At 35.6% G+C, this 21286-nt stretch overlaps 1 long non-coding RNA gene across 1 annotated transcript; it reads right to left on the reverse strand.

The window, feature by feature from the left end:
* Window positions 1-2658: 2658 nt before the first annotated feature.
* Window positions 2659-17493, reverse strand: LINC01216 (long intergenic non-protein coding RNA 1216). The gene is made up of 4 exons (NR_046811.1): window positions 17428-17493; window positions 16399-16651; window positions 8027-8140; window positions 2659-3049 (listed from the first exon to the last, which is right to left on the reverse strand). It is a non-coding gene; the product is annotated as a long intergenic non-protein coding RNA 1216 (long non-coding RNA).
* Window positions 17494-21286: the final 3793 nt, after the last annotated feature.

The following is a 21286-nucleotide window of genomic DNA, read 5'->3' on the forward strand; positions in this document are numbered from 1 at the left end:
TTCTGTTCAAGTACTTCTACAAAAATTAACTTTGCTTGCTAGCAAGAGAAGTTAGGACTTAATACCAAAGAATAAATCTTTATGTGACCTCAGTGATATAATTGCTTTTTCCATTAATGTCTCATGTCAAGTCTGAGATTTCAATAATACTTCATTATGTTTATGTATTCATACCTTGCATCTCCATCCTGATTTTAAATCCCTTCAGAGGAAGTACTGTACCTTGGGATGCTTTTACTCAACAGGTATTCCACAAACGTGTTAACCTAACACATATTTTACACAATTTCTCTGGTTTCTCAGAGGATATTTTGAAGTCAAATATGACAGTGCATACTTTAGAATATTCTGAGACAGCAAAACACAGGTATTTATCATCATGATCAGTGCTATGTTCAAGATCACATCATAAGCGTGAGAACCTTCATTTTCAAGCAGTGTCCATTGTCACCGAATGTTGAAGCCAGTGCAAAATGAAGCCACACTCCACACTGACAATGTTAGGCACAAGTGATGTAAAGATAACAAAAAAAATCAACCGTGGGTCAAACATTGTGCTCATCATGTCAGATGCATTAACCCACTTAATATCAGAGTTTCTAATAATATAACTAACATCATCCATTTTTACTATGTGCAAACATGTTTTTAAGTGTTTTACAAGTATAAAGAAGTCTTTCCCCAGTTTTATAAATGAGGAACAAAGAATTTGACATTAAGAACCTAAGCAAAGATTTCTATCCAGGTCATTCTGGTGCTAAAGTGTATGTTCTTAACCAGCACACAATGAACTTAGATAACAACATAAATATAACTAAACATGTGTGTTTGTGTGTGTAGATGGATTTATAGACACTTTTCTATTGTTCCATTTAAATGGTCTTGCTGCATGTTGTCTGTGTCCCTTAATATATCACAACCAGAACATACACATTGCTCTATTCTCTAACAGCAGTAGCATTACAAATTTTTCTGTTTAGTACTTACGGATATGTAAAGAAAATGGTTTAGGTTTTGCAGCAAGGTTATTTTGCTTATTATGTTGCCACAAAAAGCATCCAAATATAGCATGGGATTTCTAGAATGATATGAAGAATCTCTTTAAGCAAAATAATGTGACTGGTGTTTTTTTTTTTTCATTCTCCCACACATAACGTATATGCTGTAGTTTCCAAACTCTCAGCTTGAAGTTAAGACGCCCCACTTTAGAGCATATTTTATGTAGATATAATTTCCATTAATAACATATGATGGTTTATCAATATTATAATTATAATGATATGTTTGTAAGCCACATATTAATAATATAATTATGATAATATAATTATTTGTGTTGTTTTTATTTTCTTTTTATTAAATAAAATTCTTAATCATGGGTCAGTTCCTTTTATCTGTGGAGTTTTGGCCAACAACATGAAATAAACTTACAGATGAGCTATGAAGGGGATATTGCATTATTTTAGAGTGAGTAGGTATATACATATATAATTATGTCAATAAAGCTATGGATTCGAAGGAAATAATACTTGCTGTTGGGAAAAATACTTTTTGACTATGTAGATCTCTAAAATTCTTTAATAGAATGAATGCCCACAGTACAAGTGATGCAACATTTTCTGGTTTGGAATAATAAAGGAGAATATTAAACATGGTCCTGTTGAATTTCTTACCCTTAATTACAAATGCCTAATCAATTATTGGCTATATATTAAATTTCTACCTGTCTAATAAAATTACATCTTATTTTTTGGGCTCATTTCTTTTGATGTATTCTTAAGAAAGTGGATATGTTAGAACATAAAAACAGCCTCAAAACCCATAAACAACTGTGTGTAACGTCCTTGGGAAAGGTTTGTTGTTTAATTTGTTTTGAAGGAAGTAATTGATTTTCCTGGCAGATCTGATAAAAATAACAGAGCTTTGATTGTCTAATCTAGAGGTCATGTCCTCCTCAGGAATCATCAGTGCATAACTCCAATTTAAGTGAATTCAAGTTCTCCTGGGACTATATTTCGATATGACTACAATATGCTACCATGAAGCTCCACTACCATAAAGTTACTCACAGAGCATAAACCAGCAATGCATATGTGTGTGTTTATGTATACATTTGTGTGTGCATATATACATATATAGATCACACAAAACAAGAAATTTCCTCTAGAAAGAATAAGTCAAATAGCAAGACAGGCATTACGAATACTTCTTTAGTGACTTTCTATTAGTTCTGTGTGCTTCCATCCTAACCAGCTTCATTAATCCTCATGAAATTTTGCAAACTTTGATCAATAGTTTTCTTTTTAGGACATACCATATATGAAGATAGAATTTGAAAGCAAATTAATAATGCAAATAAGACTGTAAACTTACTTTTAACAAATTATAAAATGAAATACAATTAATTCATAGGTTTCATATATTGCAAAATTATTTCAATATATTAGAGGAAGTCTAAAAGGACTTTTAATCTGCAGCAGTTCTTAGCAATAGGTGGACTGGAAAATAATGGGAAATGAATTTATTCAAAATATTTTCCACAATTTACTTTCTAAATTAAATAGTTTATATTGTCACTTCCATTTATCCAAATTAATATAATTTAGGAACTGATAAATTAAATAGATAATGTAGGTCTAGGAAACATTGATTCAGTAAAGCTTGTGAAATAAATATCTTTAATATCCACAATATCCTTGTCAAACGCCAGGACAAATTCAAAGGAATAAACTTGTATCGACTTAGTGCTGGTCACATGATATTGTGAGCATTGCATCCAGTTCTGAGCACTATATTTGAAGATGCACACTCTCAAATCAAAGTCATTTAAAGGAGATCAAGTGGAATGGTGAGAAATCTGGAAAGCACATCAGACTGTAGATGGCATGGTGAAACATTTGAGGATGTAGACTCTGCTGCAGGAAATAATGGAGTTTAAAACCAAGTTCCATCACTGATTAGCGCTTGACCCTTGCAAGCTCTTCAATTCCTGTGACCATTACTTGGGTGTTCCTCTGTAAAATTATGCTCTTCATAAATATTCATAGGTGTTCTGTGATAGTTAAGGAAATGCACATAATAAAATTAGGAAGGTATTTAATACTAGCTAATATTATTATTTTTATATTATATTACCAAATGGCTTCTCCAAAAACAAACTCATGGTAAAATCATACATAATTTTAAAGCATTTTTAGGGGTGTCCTTATGAAAGAGATTTATTCATTTTTGGACCAGAAGGCATAACTAGAAAGTTAAGTAGAAAGCTACAGGAAAGGCAGTCGATTTACTTTATATTGAAGAAGATTCTCATAGCATGAAACGCTTGAAAATTAAATGAGCCACCCTAAAAAGCAGTGAGATCCTTAACATTACTCTTCTTTAAGCAGCAGCTGGAAGCTTATATAGCAGGGATGTGTTAAGAGGAAATTCTACTCTGATTAAAATGTTACACTGGACAATATTTTCTCCTAATATTCATGATTCTATGACTTAATTATTTCTTAAAAGTATTGACACCAGTGTTCTTCACAAAGCGACTGTTTAATTCTGCTTGATTTGTCCAAGTAGAAGTTTAGGTTCTAGTTCAAACACAGCATAGAAAATTGGGGGAAAAGGCCAAACTGCCAATATGATCATTGAGAAATGGCTTAGGAGGCTGCCATTCTACATGTTTACAGCAACAAGGAGTGGGTACTGACTGTGATGCTGATGCTGAGAAGTTGGCTTTGGGCTAAAATAATAGATACTTTAGTTTGTCCTTTTGAATTGTTGTTAATACTTTAACATACAAAACCACACTATAGGGAGAGTGAGAGAAAAGCAGGATAGGAGAATCCCAGGAGTAAAGTCAATTACTTCATAAAGTTCTTAAAGAGCAGAAGAAAAAAACAGGCAAGAATGGAGGATGAAGAGCACTTTTAGGCTATTCCACAAAACAAAAGAGACTTTCCCAGTGAAGAAGATACAGAAGGAGTGGTTTAAAGGTGGAATATATGAGAAAAACAACTGCCACAGCCAGTCACTAAAGTCAGCTCTAACAGCAAAGCACAGTGCTGAGCTAATGACAATTTGAGCTGCAATTTAAAAAAAGTTTAGAATCCAGTTCATGGAACAGAATCAGCCATTGTATTCAGTATAGAATAGACCACATATGGGTATTATATTTAATTTTGTGCATGATATTTTAAGACAAACGCTGACCTAGATTTGGTCTAGAAGAGAAGACGCAACACAGGAAATTGTTTGGAATCATGTCATAAACTGAATGGTTAAAAAAACTAAAGAAGACAAAGCTTTGGAAAGAGAATATAGGTCCCTTAAGATATCCGAAGGATTCTCATGTAAAAATATTGTTTCCATTACCTCTGAAGGCTGAAGGGAGTCAGCAACTAGTCCTTACCCACAATAGAAGGAATCATCTCATGAAGCAGTTAGATTCCTTGCTGCTGAATATATCCAGGTAGATACTGGTGGATGGAAACTGAATTAGATGATGAAGATCTAAATTCATAATTTCTATTTTAAAATAGTAGCTTGTCTCATGTAAGAGAGGTGGAGGATTAATTCTAGACTAGTGCTACTCACATGACATCCTAACTATTAGTATTATATCCAGTTCTGACAACTATATTTAAAGAGGCACATTCTCAAATCAATTCTAGACAGTGGCTCCCCATTATTTTGTAGTGATTCCAAATCTATTTCTTGAAGCTTTCAGATATGTATAGGGTGGGAGATAGGAAATATGAATGATAAATCTGCAGATTTCTGAATAGTGAGAAGGAGGCAAAAGACTGATGGAAGTAGATGGGGAGAGGTCACTGAAAGCAACCAAGAGTGCAGTAAAATAAGATACATGGAAGAAAGGAGACAAGTCATATCAGGCCATTAGTAATATTTCATTCAACAATTGTTTATTCAAAGACTACAACATGTTCTGATGTTCTGTTCCAAACTCCAAATTGTTTTGATTGGTCTTAGAACTCTAAACAGGAGGACATTTTTTTCCCACTCAAATATTTTTTAAACTGTTATTGCTTCTTAGTATAGCTTAAAATCTGCATACAATTAGCATGGAAAGATTTTTATTTGTTTTCATTCACCCAACATTTTAAAAAATATCTGCTTAAGAACAGTGGACCCTCATATAACTCTGTTTTGTTTCTACCTTTGTTCACACATTAGTACCAAGGGTTATGTCAACTAAGCTCTGGAGATGAATTGCTACACTAGCACTGGAAGGTAAGTCTCCCACAGTGGCTTGTTAAGACTTGTCAGCAATTTTATTTTACGTATACTTTTTATTGAAGTATAACATGCAAACAAAAATGTGCACACATCATAAATGTACATTGTGAAAACTTTACAAAAATCGAACACAGTAAGCTACTGACACTAAGTTTAAGAAATAGGTAATTACCAACACTTCAAAACACCCCCTCTTTGCCACTCCAGACACCGGTTCCTCATACGTAACTACTATCTTGACTATTAACACAAAAGATTCGCTTCCTCCATGTGTAAATGAAATAAAAAATACATGTTCTCTTGCATCTGAATTTTTTCACTCAAAATTTTGTTTGTGAGATCCATTCGTTGAACAGTACACTGTTTTAATTCATTCTCATTGTTGTATAATATTCTGTGGTATATATATCACTATTTATCCATTCTATTCTTAATGGATATTTGGTTTGTTTCAATTAGGGCTATTAGGAATAGAACATTCCTATAGTTGTGATTTGATGAGCATATGGGTGCACTCTGTTGGGTATATTCATGGAAGTAAAATTTCTGGGTCATAGCTGTATATGAATTTAGCTTTAGTAAATGTCAAAACATTTTCCAAAGAAGTTGTACCAATATTTCTTTTCTTACTAGCATTGTGTAGTCACCCTACACCCTTGCCAACACTGGGTATGCTCAGCCTACTTCATTTTAGCCATTCTGCTCAAGGTGTTGTGGTGTCACAATGTGATCTTCATTTGCATTTTCCTGATGAATAATCAATTTTATCACCTCCTTATTTGTTTACTAGCCATTGGGATGTTCTCTTTGGTGAAGGCCCTATTCAAATATTTGCTCATTGTTCTATTGTCCTCTGTATTTCTCCCACTCTGTGGCTTTCCTTTTCATTCTCTTACTGGTGTCTGTTGATTAACAGAAGTTCTTAATTTTTGTGTTGTTCAATTTAGCAATATTTTTCTTTGGATTCTGCTTTTCAAATTCTCATTCTGTCTTCCATGAGATAAGCTTGCCAATTTTTTTAAATTATTGTTCTCATATTATTGGTCAAAATACTTAATGTTGACAACCCAGAAAGAATTTGGATATGTGTCTAATACTGAGCCATTGCAGTTTGACTTGTGTTACATAACATGAACTAGTTTCTGGGCATATTAATTAAGGAATTATTTATGAATTCATGGTATGTTCAAACTTTAGAAAAAACTTTGCCCTTTCAGCACTTTTGTCTTCCATTTGGTATATGGAAAAATATATATATTGGTAGGATATCTTCAGTTTCATTTTTTTTCTAAGGATGAAAAATTGGGGAGTAGATAATCTCACTGCATATCTATTATCAGGAAAGTTCCTGGTCATCTTTGCAGATGGAGGACCTTATTTAAGCAACATTAACCCTAGATACAACTTAAAACTCATAAATGCTTTGATGATTTCCATCAAGAATGATGGCTTGCATGGACATTAACAAATAAATCAATTTTTCAAGTTTCTATTTTCTTACATAAGTTATTAGCTCAGAAGAAGTAATGTCTCCTACTAGAATTCGAAAGAAAGTCTCTACTAAGTGTTAAACCAAGTGAGTTTAACACTTGATTTAAACCAATAAATGCATACTAATATTTTAAAAAACATTTATTGGTTTAAACCAATAAATGTATACTAATATTTTAAAAGTTTAAACCATGTGTTGGTTTATACCAATAAATGTATGCTAACATTTTAAAAGTTTAAACCAATAAATGTATACTAATATTAATTAGTACACATTACCAGAAATTGATGTTAATATTTATATTGTAAGATATATTTCTGTATCTAAAATGTTAAAGATCCTTCACAATAAACTAGATAAACTTTGTTTTGAAATTTTTGTTCTTTTTTCTATTCATTTATATACCCAATTAAATGATAGCATGTTTTCTCAGAAGACTTAATGTTTTTTCTGGATGCCATAAAAGTTGCAAACCATCCTTTAGGCATTGAAGGAAGCTGTGTCAGTTTTAAGCTTTATAACACTAATATTTTATCATTGTTTAATACCAGTACTTGAAGCCAGTTCACAGATAAGAGATATTATTTATCCTGATTACTAAAGATGGCTGTATTTTCATTGCTATTTATTACAAGGAAAAAAAACCTATGCTCTTCAATCTGTGGTATAGATATTATTTAAATGTTTTACTTCAAATGTTTAAATTGCATTTAAGTTAAATGTAATTTAAATGTTACGATTTAGTTATTCTAAAGTTACATGTAATCTTTCACTCAGTTCACATTTGGAAGCTGCCTAAATCCACTTTCACACAGGAAAAATAAAAAGTTGCATTATCATTTTTTTATCACAGGATTTTTCATCGTGCATTATAATTCAATTATATGCATTATTCAGGGGTTCAAAAGGAGAAAATAGTAAGCATAGCTGGGGTGGCACAGAGAAAGGCTTGCACTTTGAAGCTCACTTCAACAGTGCGCCTGAAACCTCTCAGAAACCATGAGGAACCTGCAAAATATAAATTAATGCTTGAAATCTATAGAGAGTAGATATAAGAAAAACAAAAAGCAAAAAACTGACCAGCCTCTAGAACAATGAATCACTGAAGAATACAAAATCAGGGCAGAGACCACATTTCAAGGTCATAATTTTTAGTGCTCTCCTAGATTCACTAAATACAAATTTTAAGAGTAATTCATGTCAGCAAAGCCATATCTGATACAATGGGATAAAAGACTACTACTAATTCCAAGTTATGTCACCATTCTATTGGATGAAGCAACTTACCTTATTAAGAGTTTATATGACATAACGTCCATTTAGTTCATCAATTATTTATTTGTTATTGCAGGCAACATACTGAAATTGACGCACAACTGAAAAAGATATCTCCTTCCTCAACTAATTAAAAAAGGCAAGGAAGAAGAAGAAATAAAACAACTTGTAAGAAAACCACTAATTTCAAAAACTATGTATATACTATATATATATACACACACACACGTATATACTATATATATACACACACATATATATACATATATATATTTCAAAATATATATATACAGTTTTTGAAATATAGTGGTGTACACAATGTACACATATATTTCAAAAGCTAGGTTATTTATATACATTCTCTCATTTAATTATTGTAATCATGAGAAAGAGGTTTTTTTTTTCTGTTATAAATAACCTGAAATTCCATATAACTGGCATGCCCTAAATCATACAGTTAGAAAGTAAAACCTAATTCTGTCTGGCTTCAATGAACACTTCACAACATCATTTTATACCTATGATCTAAAATAAATGCCTTAAATGCTACACCAACGAAGTGCTACAATAATACAAAATAGCAAACAGCACACGATTGTATATGAATGGTAAGATCAAGAAAGTTTTTCTGAAGGGAGGGCTCTTCCACAAGGTCTTTGAAAGAGAAGCAGGATTGGAGAACAGAATAGACACTCTTTCGGAAAGGGGTATTAGATGAATAGAGGTGAGAAATTAAAGAGAAAGTCTTGAGAATTGATTTTTAAAAAATCAATCAAACAAAAATCTCAAACAAAATATCAGCCAAACAAAAGATCAATTCAGTAAACGTATAAACAGACTCCCTTACATCTGTTCTGCCCTCCCCCCATCCTTCTACATGGCAGCCAGGCTAATCTTGAAAAACTCAAGTCTGACATCTCACTATTCTGTTTAAAACCTTCCCTGACTGCATTATCCTTTAGGGTAAAGTCCAATAAAAAACTCACGAGCCTGCAGGATCAGGGCATCTTTCCTTTGTCACTTCACATTTTAGCCATAGGGACTCTATTTTAATTCCTTAAAACCACCATGCTCTTTTGAGCCTCAGGTGCTGTTGAACACTGTCCCCTCTGCCAGAAATGCTTTTCCCTACTTTCTGTGCACTTGTTCGAAACCTCTTTTTCTCAGACTCTAAATTCCTTAAAGGCAGTGATCACATATTTGTCTTATCTGCTGCATTTACCAGAGCCACCTGACTCAGATTTTTATTTTTTCATCCAATACATGTAACTATGCACTATGAAAGACCCTTTAGAAACTGCCATTTATGTTTAATTAGATCCCATTTGTCAATTTTGGCTTTTGTTGCCATTGCTTTTTGGTGTTTTAGACATGAAGTCCTTGCCCATACCTATGTCCTGAATGGTATTGCCTAGGTTTTCTTCTAGGGTTTGTATGGTTTTAGGTCTAACATTTAAGTCTTTAATCCATCGTGAATTAATTTTTGTATAAGGTGTAAGGAAGGGATCCAGTTTCAGCTTTCTACATATGGCTAGCCAGTTTTCCCAGCACCATTTATTAAATAGGGAATCCTTTCCCCATTTCTCATTTTTGTCAGGTTTGTCAAAATCAGATAGTTGTAGATATGTGGCATTATTTCTGAGGGCTCTGTTCCTTTCCATTGGTCTATATCTCTGTTTTGGTACCAGTACCATGCTGTTTTGGTTACTGTAGCCTTGTAGTATAGTTTGAAGTCAGGCAGCGTGATGCCTCCAGCTTTGTTCTTTTGGCTTAGGATTGACTTGGCAATATGGGCTGTTTCTTGGTTGCATATGAACTTTAAAGTAGTTTTTTCCAATTCTGTGAAGAAAATCATTGGTAGCTTGATGGGGATGGCACTGAATCTATAAATTACCTTGGGCAGTAGGGCCATTTTCCCGATATTGATTCTTCCTACCCATGAGCATGGAAAGTTCTTCCATTTGTTTGTGATCTCTTTTATTTCATTGAGCAGTGGTTTGTAGTTCTCCTTGAAGAGGTCCTTCACATCCCTTGTAAGTTGGATTCCTAGGTATTTTATTCTCTTTGAAGCACTTGTGAATGGGAGTTTACTCATGATTTGGCTCTCTGTTTGTCTGTTATTGGTGTATAAGAATGCTTGTGATTTTTGCACATCGATTTTGTATCCTGAGACTTTGCTGAAGTTGCCTATCAGCTTAAGGAGATTTTCTGCTGAGACGATGGGGTTTTCTAGGTATACAATCATGTCATCTGCAAACAGGGACAATTTGACTTCCTCTTTTCCTAATTGAATACCATTTGTTTCCTTCTGCCTGACTGCCCTGGCCAGAACTTCCAACACTATGTTGAATAGGAGTGGTGAGAGAGGGCATCCCTGTGTTGTGCCAGTTTTCAGAGGGAATGCTTCCAGTTTTTGCACATTCAGTATGATATTGGCTGTGGGTTTGTCACAGATAGCTCTTATTATTTTGAGATATGTCCCATCAATACCTAATTTATTGAGAATTTTTAGCATGAAGCGTTGTTGAATTTTGTCAAAGGCCTTTTCTGCATCTATTGAGATAATCATGTGGTTTTTGTCGTTGGTTCTGTTTATATGCTGGATTACATTTATTGATTTGCGTATGTTGAACCAGCCTTGCATCCCAGGGATGAAGCCTACTTGATCATGGTGGATAAGCTTTTTGATGTGCTGCTGGATTTGGTTTGCCAGTATTTTATTGAGGATTTTTGCGTCGATGTTCATCAGGGATATCGGTCTAAAATTCTCTTTTTTTGTTGTGTCTCTGCCAGCCTTTGGTATCAGGATGATGCTGGCCTCATAAAATGAGTTAGGGAGGATTCCCTCTTTTTCTATTGATTGGAATAGTTTCAGAAGGAATGGTACCAGCTCCTCCTTGTACCTCTGGTAGAATTCGGCTGTGAATCCATCTGGTCCTGGACTTTTTTTGGTTGGTTAGCTATTAATTATTGCCTCGATTTCAGAGCCTGTTATTAGTCAATTCAGAGATTCAACTTCTTTCTGGTTTAGTCTTTGGAGGGTGTATGTGTTGAGGAATTTATCCATTTCTTCTAGATTTTCTAGTTTGTTTGCATAGAGGTGTTTATAGTATTTTCTGTTAGTAGTTTGTATTTCTGTGGGATTGGTGGTGATATCCCCTTTATCATTTTTTATTGAGTCTATTTGATTCTTCTCTCTTTTCTTCTTTATTAGTCTTGCTAGCAGTCTATCAATTTTGTTGATCTTTTCAAAAAAACCAGTTCCTGGATTCATTGATTTTTTGAAGGGTTTTTTGTGTCTCTGTCTCCTTCAGTTCTGCTCTGATCTTAGTTATTTCTTGCCTTCTGCTAGCTTTTGAATGTGTTTGCTCTTGCTTCTCTAGTTCTTTTAATTGTGATATTAGGGTGTCAATTTTAGATCTTTCCTGCTTTCTCTTGTGGGCATTTAGTGCTATAAATTTCCCTCTACACACTGCTTTGAATGTGTCCCAGAGATTCTGATATGTTGTGTCTTTGTTCTTGTTGGTTTCAAAGAACATCTTTATTTCTGCCTTCATTTTGTTATATACCCAGTAGTCCTTCAGGAGCAGATTGTCCAGTTTCCATGTAGTTGTGCGGTTTTGAGTGAGTTTCTTAATCCTGAGTTCTAGTTTGATTGCACTGTGGTCTGAGAGACAGTTTGTTATAATTTCTGTCCTTTTACATTTGCTGAGGAGTGCTTTCTAAAGAGCTTCTGCACAGCAAAAGAAACTACCAACAGAGTGAACAGGCAACCTACAGAATGGGAGAAAATTTTTGCAATCTACCCATCTGACAAAGGGCTAATATCCAGAATCTACAATGAACTCAAACAAATTTACAAGAAAAAAACAAACAACCTCATCAAAAAGTGGGCAAAGGATATGAACAGACACTTCAAAAGAAGACATTTATGCAGCCAAAAGACACATGAAAAAATGCTCATCATCACTGGCCATCAGAGAGATGCAAATCAAAACCACAATGAGATACCATCTCACACCAGTTAGAATGGCAATAATTAAAAAATCAGGAAACAACAGGTGCTGGAGAGGATGTGGAGAAATAGGAACACTTCTACACTGTTGGTGGGACCGTAAACTAGTTCAACCATTTTGGAAGTCAGTGTGGTGATTCCTCAGGGATCTAGAACTAGGAATACCATTTGACCCAGCTATCCCATCACTTGGTATATACTCAAAGGATTATAAAACATGCTGCTATAAAGACACATGCACACGTATGTTTATTGTGGCACTATTCACAATAGCAAAGACTTGGAACCAACCCAAAAGTCCAACAATGACAGACTGGCTTAAGAAAATGTGGCACATATACACCGTGGAATACTATGCAGCCATAAAAAATGATGAGTTCATGTCCTTTGTAGGGACATGGATGAAACTGGAAACCATCATTCTCAGCAAACTATTGCAAGAAAAAAACCAAACACCACATGTTCTCACTCATAGGTGGGAATTGAACAGTGAGAACACATGGACACAGGAAGGGGAACGTCACACACCAGGGCCTGTTGTGGGGTGGGGGAGGGGGCGGGATAGCATTAGGAGATATACCTAATGTTAAATGATGAGTTAATGGATACAGCACACCAACATGGCACATGTATACATATGTAACAAACCTGCACGTTGTGCACATGCACCTAAAACTTAAAGTATAATTAAAAAAAAAAAAAAAAAGAAACTGCCATTTATGGAGCCTAAAAGCCTTGGCATTGCCAGGTAACAATTCTTCCTTGTCTCAGGAAGAGATGGAATTAAAGGACTACTAACTATTGTTCTCAAGCAAGGTTTCTGGATTTCTAGGCCCCTTCCAAAAGATAGGATGGAAAGTTCTAATAAAGGAAAAGAAAATGCAATATATATTAAATCTGTTTTATACCTCTTTGTTAAGAAATTTTGATTCTTTAGTAAAGAAAAATCAAAACCAGATGAGGTAAGAATATTGTGACTGAAGATCACCAAGAAACATTATTATCTGCCAAGTATTTTTTTCCAAGATATAATAAAAGGGGTCAGAACACTCTCCAGGAACAATTGCCCAGTTGGGCTGACAAAGTTTTGACGATGTAAGGGGCAAATTGTCTCCAACCCCATAGACAAGGTAGGGAACCCAGCTCTGGGGACCATGCAATTAGGACCGTGATGTCCTAAATTACAGGACATCACCTTTAAGGAAGAGAAACACACAAATAATGGGTACACTGGCACAATTTTATATAGGAAATGAAAAAATCATTAAAAAAGAAAATTTTTGGCTCAGTGTCTGCCCTTTAATTTTTTTGTGATTCTGATGCATTAAAATAAAAAAAAGAATAAAAGTAGTCCTACCCAGAGATGAGAGGCAGCCCTAATTTGGATAAGCTACGATTACCATGTGCTTAGCCTATAATAATCCTTTCATAAATATTTGTTGAATTAATAAATAGATTTATCAAGAGAAGTGATGTCAGCCTGATTGGGTATCTAACAAATGGCTTAGGCAGTAACTTGTTAAATCTATAAATACATTGGGCAGTATATAGATAAACCTTATCTAAATACAGAGTTGTTATAAAAATATTGGGCAATTTAAGTGTATTTTCAAACACTTTGTTAAATTTTTTCAAACAGACAAATTCTTACATCATGATGACAAACACTGATGCTCAGTATTATGGTTTCAATTTACTATTATTTTGTAGTCTAAGAAGAACTGGATTTTGCTGGGATAATTTGTTTTCTGAGCCTTTTGTTTTTGTGGGAGATGGAAGAGATGCGAAGGAGAAATGATCTATTGTAAAAAGCTCCGGATATTTCTAAAAACGAGTGGCAGAGGTCTCAATTAACTTTGCTTCTTTGAACTCATATCTACCCAGGAGAAGTGAGAGACACAATGTGAAATTATAATGATTTACTCTATAGGATAAGGTCATTTATTTATTTTCTTTTCTGGTTTTGAGAAGCCTCAAATCTCACCCAAAAAAATATTTTTCATGAAAACATGACATGTTACTCCATAACATAAACAGAAAGATACTACGTTTAGTGGTATCAAGTTACCTCTGTAAGAGATCAGGTACTCTTTTATTAAAATTAATAAAAGTAATAAAAACAACTGACATTCACAGATTGCTTATTATGTGCCATCTCTGTACTAAGGGCTTTGTTTAGATTAATCCTCACCTTGACTCTGAGAAGAGGGTATTTTTAACAAAATTACAACCTCTTTTTACAGATGAAGAACCAAACAGAAAGTTTACATAAGCTGCTCGAGGTTACCCAAGGTAGTGCAGAGCTGAGGCCTGGTTTGTCTGATTCTATTGTACATGTTAATAACTCCATTGTATATCATAGAAATCCCTCTTTATAAAACAAGTATGGATCTTTAGTATATTAATCACCTTCAATATTTCTTCCACCAACTTATTTAGAAAACAAGTTTGAACTGACATTTAAAAGAACAATGAGAAATGTCTTTTTTAGATCATGTGAAGTGAGATATGAGGAGAGTAACCCATTCTTGGTTTCTGAAATGCAAATATTAATTTTCTAACATGAGAAAGAGTCCATTTGATATTTTAGCAAGTCATTTGAGGTCAGGACATCAAGCCATTAGGCTGAATCACTAATGAAATTGTTAGTGTTATAGGTCAAAACTGGTCAAATATTGATAATTTCAAATGATTCAACCTAGTAGCTCTCTGTTTCTGGTAACAGTAAACAGTACAAATTAAAAATTCTATATATAAACTCAGAATTGTTTAGGGTCCAGCAAAGGGAAAGAAAAATCAGAAGGTAAGTCTCCTATATTCGAAGAACATAGAATAATGTCATACTGAAAACAACCAGGGTTAAAGTAACATGCCAAATATTTAATTGTTAGATCATCATGGAGTTGTAGATGGAGAAATTTACGGAAATTTTAATAAGTACTTGGATGTGAGCTTTGAGAAAAAGAATTCACAGAACAGAGCCATGAAGCTCTTCTAGGCAGAAGGGAAGATCATGATAAAGAGCAAACAACTGGGGACTGTCATGAAGCACAAAATGTTATAGGCCAGAAAAAGAAAGAACTGATTGGATCACTGGGTCCGTGTGATCCACAAGCAGGACAGGTTAGATGGGTTAGAGAGAAGAACTGAAAGTGGAAGGAGACACCTGGACTTGATTCTGCCAGAAGTCATACTAGGCATCTCCAGGAGGATTGCGTTGGTAAAGTCACACATACTGGGAATACTGAATGAGTAGCAGGCACAGTGTAAGAGACTTGGAGCAGAACAATTGATTAAAGACTAGTTATATGGCCCAGGACCAAGAGTGTGGATCTGCATCATGGTGGTAAAAAAGAGAACAACATTTTGAATTCAACATGTTGAACTAGAGACACAATTTGAAGGAAGAAGTAACAGGATTTGATTTCCAATTTAACTTTTTTGTGGAATAGAAAAGTGACTCTAAAATATTGAGCCTAAGTGATTTTTTATATGGGGGTTTATTGTTTTAAAAATAAAATGGAAAAGTGTACAAGTTTGGGGAGATAATTTATTCTAATAAATATGTAAAGTAATAATAGCTTATTATTTGCTGCTGTCTCAGACACTGACTACTAAGCAATGTGTACACACACTAATTATATATACATATATTTTTCACAATTCCTTAAACCATATTGAAAGACAAGTATTAATCAAGTATTAATATTTAAATTTTATAACTAATAAAATACAGGCCAAAGAGGTTAAATAATTTTCCCAAAGTCACATAGCACTAAATATTTATGACTCCCAAAAACCTTTGTTGTTTTATCTATTTTACCCAAGTAGAATTTGAAATGACAGCTGAACTTTCATGTGACTGTATCTTAAACAGGGCATAAAACAGACGACTAGCGCTAGAATGAGGGACTGAATATTTGGGTTTGAAAGTCATTAGGATTCGCTGAACTTTGAAAGTGGGTCATCACTTCAGGGTTGAGGAACATGGGAGGAAAAAAAGGAAACAAAACTAAAATCTGAAAGTTACCTAGAATGAGGGACAGAAAGTAGAGAGGGGCAGGTCAAGAATAAGACAGAACCAGAGAGAGTGCCAGAGAAGAAAGTACTAAGCTGTCTAAGTCATTTATTTAACAAGTATGTCCCCAGCTAAGGAGCAAGTGAGCTGACATCTGAAAGGTCCACTGGAAGTTCAACAAGTGTAAAGCGCTCTGGCCAAAGGGGACTGTTTAAGTAGAACGGGAACATACTCAAAAGATGAGTGTCAAGAGGGAGCAGAGATTGGGGATAATTAGCAATGGAGGGGTTAGACTAAAAAAGGCAGTTTCTGCAGATATTTTGTCACATTAGGGTCCCAGCAGTTACCTACCTTTTTCTGGATCAAGTACTTTTTTTTCTGGAGCATGTGTTATCTAGTCTCTCAGTTTTTTTTCTAGGTTTCCGGTTATCTTGGTCAGCTCAGACTGCCGTAACAAAATACCATAGGCTGGACAATTTGAACAGCAGGCATTTGTTTCTCACAGCTCTCGAGACCGAAAAGCACAAGATCAAGGTACCATTCAGTTTGGTTCCTGGTAATGGCTGTCTTCATGACTTGCAGACAGCTGTCTTTTTGTTGTGTCCTCATACAGAAGGGAGAGAGACAGTCAGTCAGACAGACAGAGAGAGATAGAGTGCAGAAGCATAAGCTCTCTAGTCTCTTCTTATAATGTCACTAATCCCATCACAGGGACCCCATCCTTAATGACGCCATCTAATCCTAATCACCTCCCAAAGGCCGTATCTCCAAATACCATCACATTTGGGGTTAAGGCTTCAACATATGAATTTGGTTGGGAAGCGGGGAGGTCACAAACATTCCATCGATAATGATCACGGAGGCAGCTTCTATTTGTACCTGACTATAAGAGGGCTGCTGCACTGGTGTTTCACTGACCTTCCCCAGAGTTTCATGTGATGGTAAACAAGACCTATTCCTCAAAACTTCTATAATATAAAAATTGCTAATGTGATTTTTGCTAATTAGATTGCCACCCTAGAATATAAATTATAACATCAATAGAGAATCTTGGCATACCATGCCTGGCATAATGTACCTCCAAAGGTATGAAGTAATGAAAATTTGTGGGAATTTTTGGGAATGTTGAGGGAAATTGATTTCTCAACAATTTTTGACTCTAAAATTTTTGATTCTTTGGTTCTTTCTCTCTATTCTGTAGTTCTAAAATGTAGTAGAACAACAGCAGAACACAAGTCTTTGCCCCATGGGAAAATTAAAACCCCATAGCCCTGTTTCAATTCCATGGTCATAAAATAGGGAAAAGAGAAAGTTGGTGATCTTACTTAAAAGAGAACTGCACCCCTAAGTCAGCATGCTGGGCAATTTCCCCATTATTACCTGTATTTTCATAAACAGCAGATTTTAAGGAAGCCATATTTGCCACAGCAAATGAATTCAGGGGAGCAGCTATCTACGTGGTTGATACATTCGGTATCCTTTGTTTGGAAGTGTCTTGGTCTCCTAGCAACATCATAGGGAAATCTATCAGGGATATGAAATTAAATGGCTATGTAGGCGGAATACCTGTAGAGTGTTCAGTTCTATGAAAAGCTTTCACTAGAAATTATATACATATTGTGCAAAATGCTACAGTAACATAAGGTTAAGGTAGGAATTGTTCAACTCCCCCATAAGCAATTTAGAGTTCCAGCAATAACCAATAGCCAAGGGTCTACAGTGCACAGAAAAAAAAGAAAGAAAGAAAGGCACTATACGAAATGCTAGTTATGTTAATTATTTATGACTATGGAGACTTTCCTCCACAAAATTAAAAAAAAATAGAAAAAAAATTGAAAAAAAGATTTCAGGGCATCCTGATCTCCAGGCTCTTCTTTTGTTAAAACCTTCTCCCAACTTTGGGGGTAGAAGGAAGTGAAACATTTTCTCCTGCAAACCAACAAACAAATAAATAAGTTAGAAATACAAAATTCAAGAAGCAAGACTACAGAACCCTGCCCTTTTTTTAGCTACTGGCTGTAACTGCAAATCAAATCCGAGCTGTGCTGGTCTGCTCCCTGTTGCCTAGTTTCTCACAGAGTGTCTGAAAGACAGCTGCAGGCCGACTCCTGGGCTGCAACTCCACGATTCGGAGTCCTAGAGAAGCGGGTCCTAGGATTTGCATGTAACAAATCTGACCTGGTGATTCTTGAGAGCTATTACTTCCTGCTATAGAAAGTGCTCTTAATGGTGTCTGTCCCATTCCTTCATTCAAGGCCATTATCTTTCTTTGCTGGATAAGAAAATTTGCGCTTGGAAAGGGCCTATCATGTTTTCCTTCAGTCAATGTTGTTAGTCCAAACTGCACCATTTTTTAAACCCCCTGCCATTTTTGCAGGCCTTGGTCAAGGTGGAACATGCCACAGGTGTTTGGGCCTGAGAAACAGCCTGCCTAACCACCTGACCACAAGGCACAGGAACATCTTTTTTCTTTTCTTTTCTTTTCTTCTTTTTTTTTTTTTTTTTTTTTTTGAGTCGTAGTCTCGCTCTGTCACCTAGACTGGAGTGCAGTGGCATGCTCTTGGATCACTGCCACCTCCACCTCCCGGGTTCAAGAGATTCTCCTGCCTCAGCCTCCTGAGTAGGTGGAATTACGGGTGTGCGCCACCATGCCCGGCTAATTTTTGTATTTTTAGTAGAGATGGCGTTTCACCATGTTGGTCAGGCTGGTCTTGAACTCCTGACCTCATGATCTGCCCACCTTGGCCTCCCAAAGTGCTGGGATTACAGGTGTGAGCAACTGCGCCCGGCCACACAGGAACATCTTTATCATACTCTGCCAAGCAAAGGCCCAACTGAAGGAACATCCCTATCAAATCTTGCTGGGCAAAGGTACAAGGAACATCCTCTCACATCTCACTGAAAAAAGGGCTAAACCATCTGATCACAGGAACATCTTATCAATATCCTTCCGGGCAGCAAGCCATACTGCCCAGACCTCTCCCCGCTCCATAATTATAAATACCCCAGGCTGTAAGCAGCTGTGGTCTCTGGTATTAAGCTGGTCCCCAACCTCTGCAGGTTTATGCTGGACATAAATGCCTGAATTTGCTGTTGAGCCACCACTCTCTCTCTCTTTCTATTTTTATTTAACCCTCGTCTTCCCTTCAAAACCTATCAAATGTGACACACTAAAATATCCCTTTAAATAACAAGTTTCTTCTCTGTTAATTTATTTACATATATAATTTTACTCATTTTCTCTTCCTCTTTCCTTTCAACTAATTTCATCAAACATCAAACATTTATTGTTTACTGTGTATCCACAACAGAATTGCAATCAAGATCGGTTGTTTAAAAATTTAAGCAAAATTTAGGTATTGAAAGACTTTATTTTGGATTTTAATTATACTAATAAAAGTTAATTGCTTTATATTATGTATGTTTATTTACAGCTTGATTGTAAAAAGTTTTTATTTTTTTTATTTTTTTATTTTTTTTATTTTTTGCTGGTAATTCTTACATTTCTTTTCTTTTTTTTTTTTTTATACTTTAAGTTTTAGGGTACATGTGCACATTGTGCAGGTTAGTTACATATGTATACATGTGCCATGCTGGTGCGCTGCACCCACTAACTCGTCATCTAGCATTAGGTATATCTCCCAATGCTATCCCTCCCCCCTCCCCCCACCCCACCACAGTCCTCAGAGTGTGATATTCCCCTTCCTGTGTCCATGTGATCTCATTGTTCAATTCCCACCTATGAGTGAGAATATGCGGTGTTTGGTTTTTTGTTCTTGCGATAGTTTACTGAGAATGATGATTTCCAATTTCATCCATGTCCCTACAAAGGACATGAACTCATCATTTTTTATGGCTGCATAGTATTCCATGGTGTATATGTGCCACATTTTCTTAATCCAGTCTATCATTGTTGGACATTTGGGTTGGTTCCAAGTCTTTGCTATTGTGAATAATGCCGCAATAAACATACGTGTGCATGTGTCTTTATAGCAGCATGATTTATAGTCATTTGGGTATATACCCAGTAATGGGATGGCTGGGTCAAATGGTATTTCTAAAGCCATCAAAGACATGTAATAGAAGAATTAAAAAATTTTTTTAAAAGGTTAAATTATTTTGACAGTATTGGAAAAGTATGAAGTACTTTGGGACAGAGGAAAAGAAGATATCTCTCTTTTCCCTCTCAGTTTCTCTGCACCCCACACCTGTTTTTCTCCTGGATAAAGGACAAGGAATAGGACGTGGAAAAAAAATGACCTTGCCAGGATACTACAAATTGATCTTTTATATGTTTAGTTAGACTAGGACTAGCTTCCTGATGATAGTACCTGCTACTCCAACCAAATAACCTAAAATCTGATTTAATTTTGTCAAAATCAAGATCCCAAGCTTTCCCAATCTTGGATGGGGAGAGGAGAAAAGAGGCCCTGCGGTAGGGAGCTATGTAAGAGGCCTGGTACAAACTCAATGATAGTCTTGAACTGTAGGATAAGTTTCCTTTGAGGTTCACCATCAAGATTTCTAGGTGGGAAGGTGTCTTAGTCCATTTGACCTGCTATAACAAAGTACCATAAACCAGGTAGCTTATAAATAACAGAAGCTTATTTCTCACACTTCTGGGGGCTGGGAAGACTGATGCCACGGTGCCAACAGATTTGGAGTCTGGTGAGTGCTCTTTCTTGTTCCCAGATGGAAGCTTCTTGTTGTGTTTTCACATGGCAGAAAGGACAAGGCAGCTCTCTGGAGCCTCTTTTATAAAGGCACTAATTCCATTCACAAGGGCTCCACTTCATGACCTAACCACCTCCGGATGTTTCATTTTCTAACACTATCACACTGGTGATTAGGTTTCAATATGGAAATTGAAGATGGGGAAGTGTCACAAATATTCACAACATAGCAGAGAGATTCCAGAGTTAGCTTATGTATTTGACATTTGTTGTTTCTGTTGCCCATATCTGAGGTGCCCTTTCTGTAAGGGCCACCTTTCATTCCACTACAGAAGCCAAATTGGAGAAAGTATTTCTTCTCCCTACTCTTTGGCAGTAAGAGCTTGGGCATATGAATCCCAACTCAGAGATACCAAGGTGCAAAGTCAGAGAGAAAGTCTTTGAAGCAGTTACGATAGAGTGAAGATTCTAGTAGCATGCAGAGTGATGAGTAGTTAGTGGTGCAGAGTGATGTCACTAGCAGTGGTATCCTAAGCAGATAGTCCCTGCAAAAGGATTTTACCTGT

The sequence above is a fragment of the Homo sapiens genome, chromosome 4 (assembly GCF_000001405.40).
Source record: "Homo sapiens chromosome 4, GRCh38.p14 Primary Assembly".
Classification (NCBI taxonomy): Eukaryota; Metazoa; Chordata; class Mammalia; order Primates; family Hominidae; genus Homo; species Homo sapiens.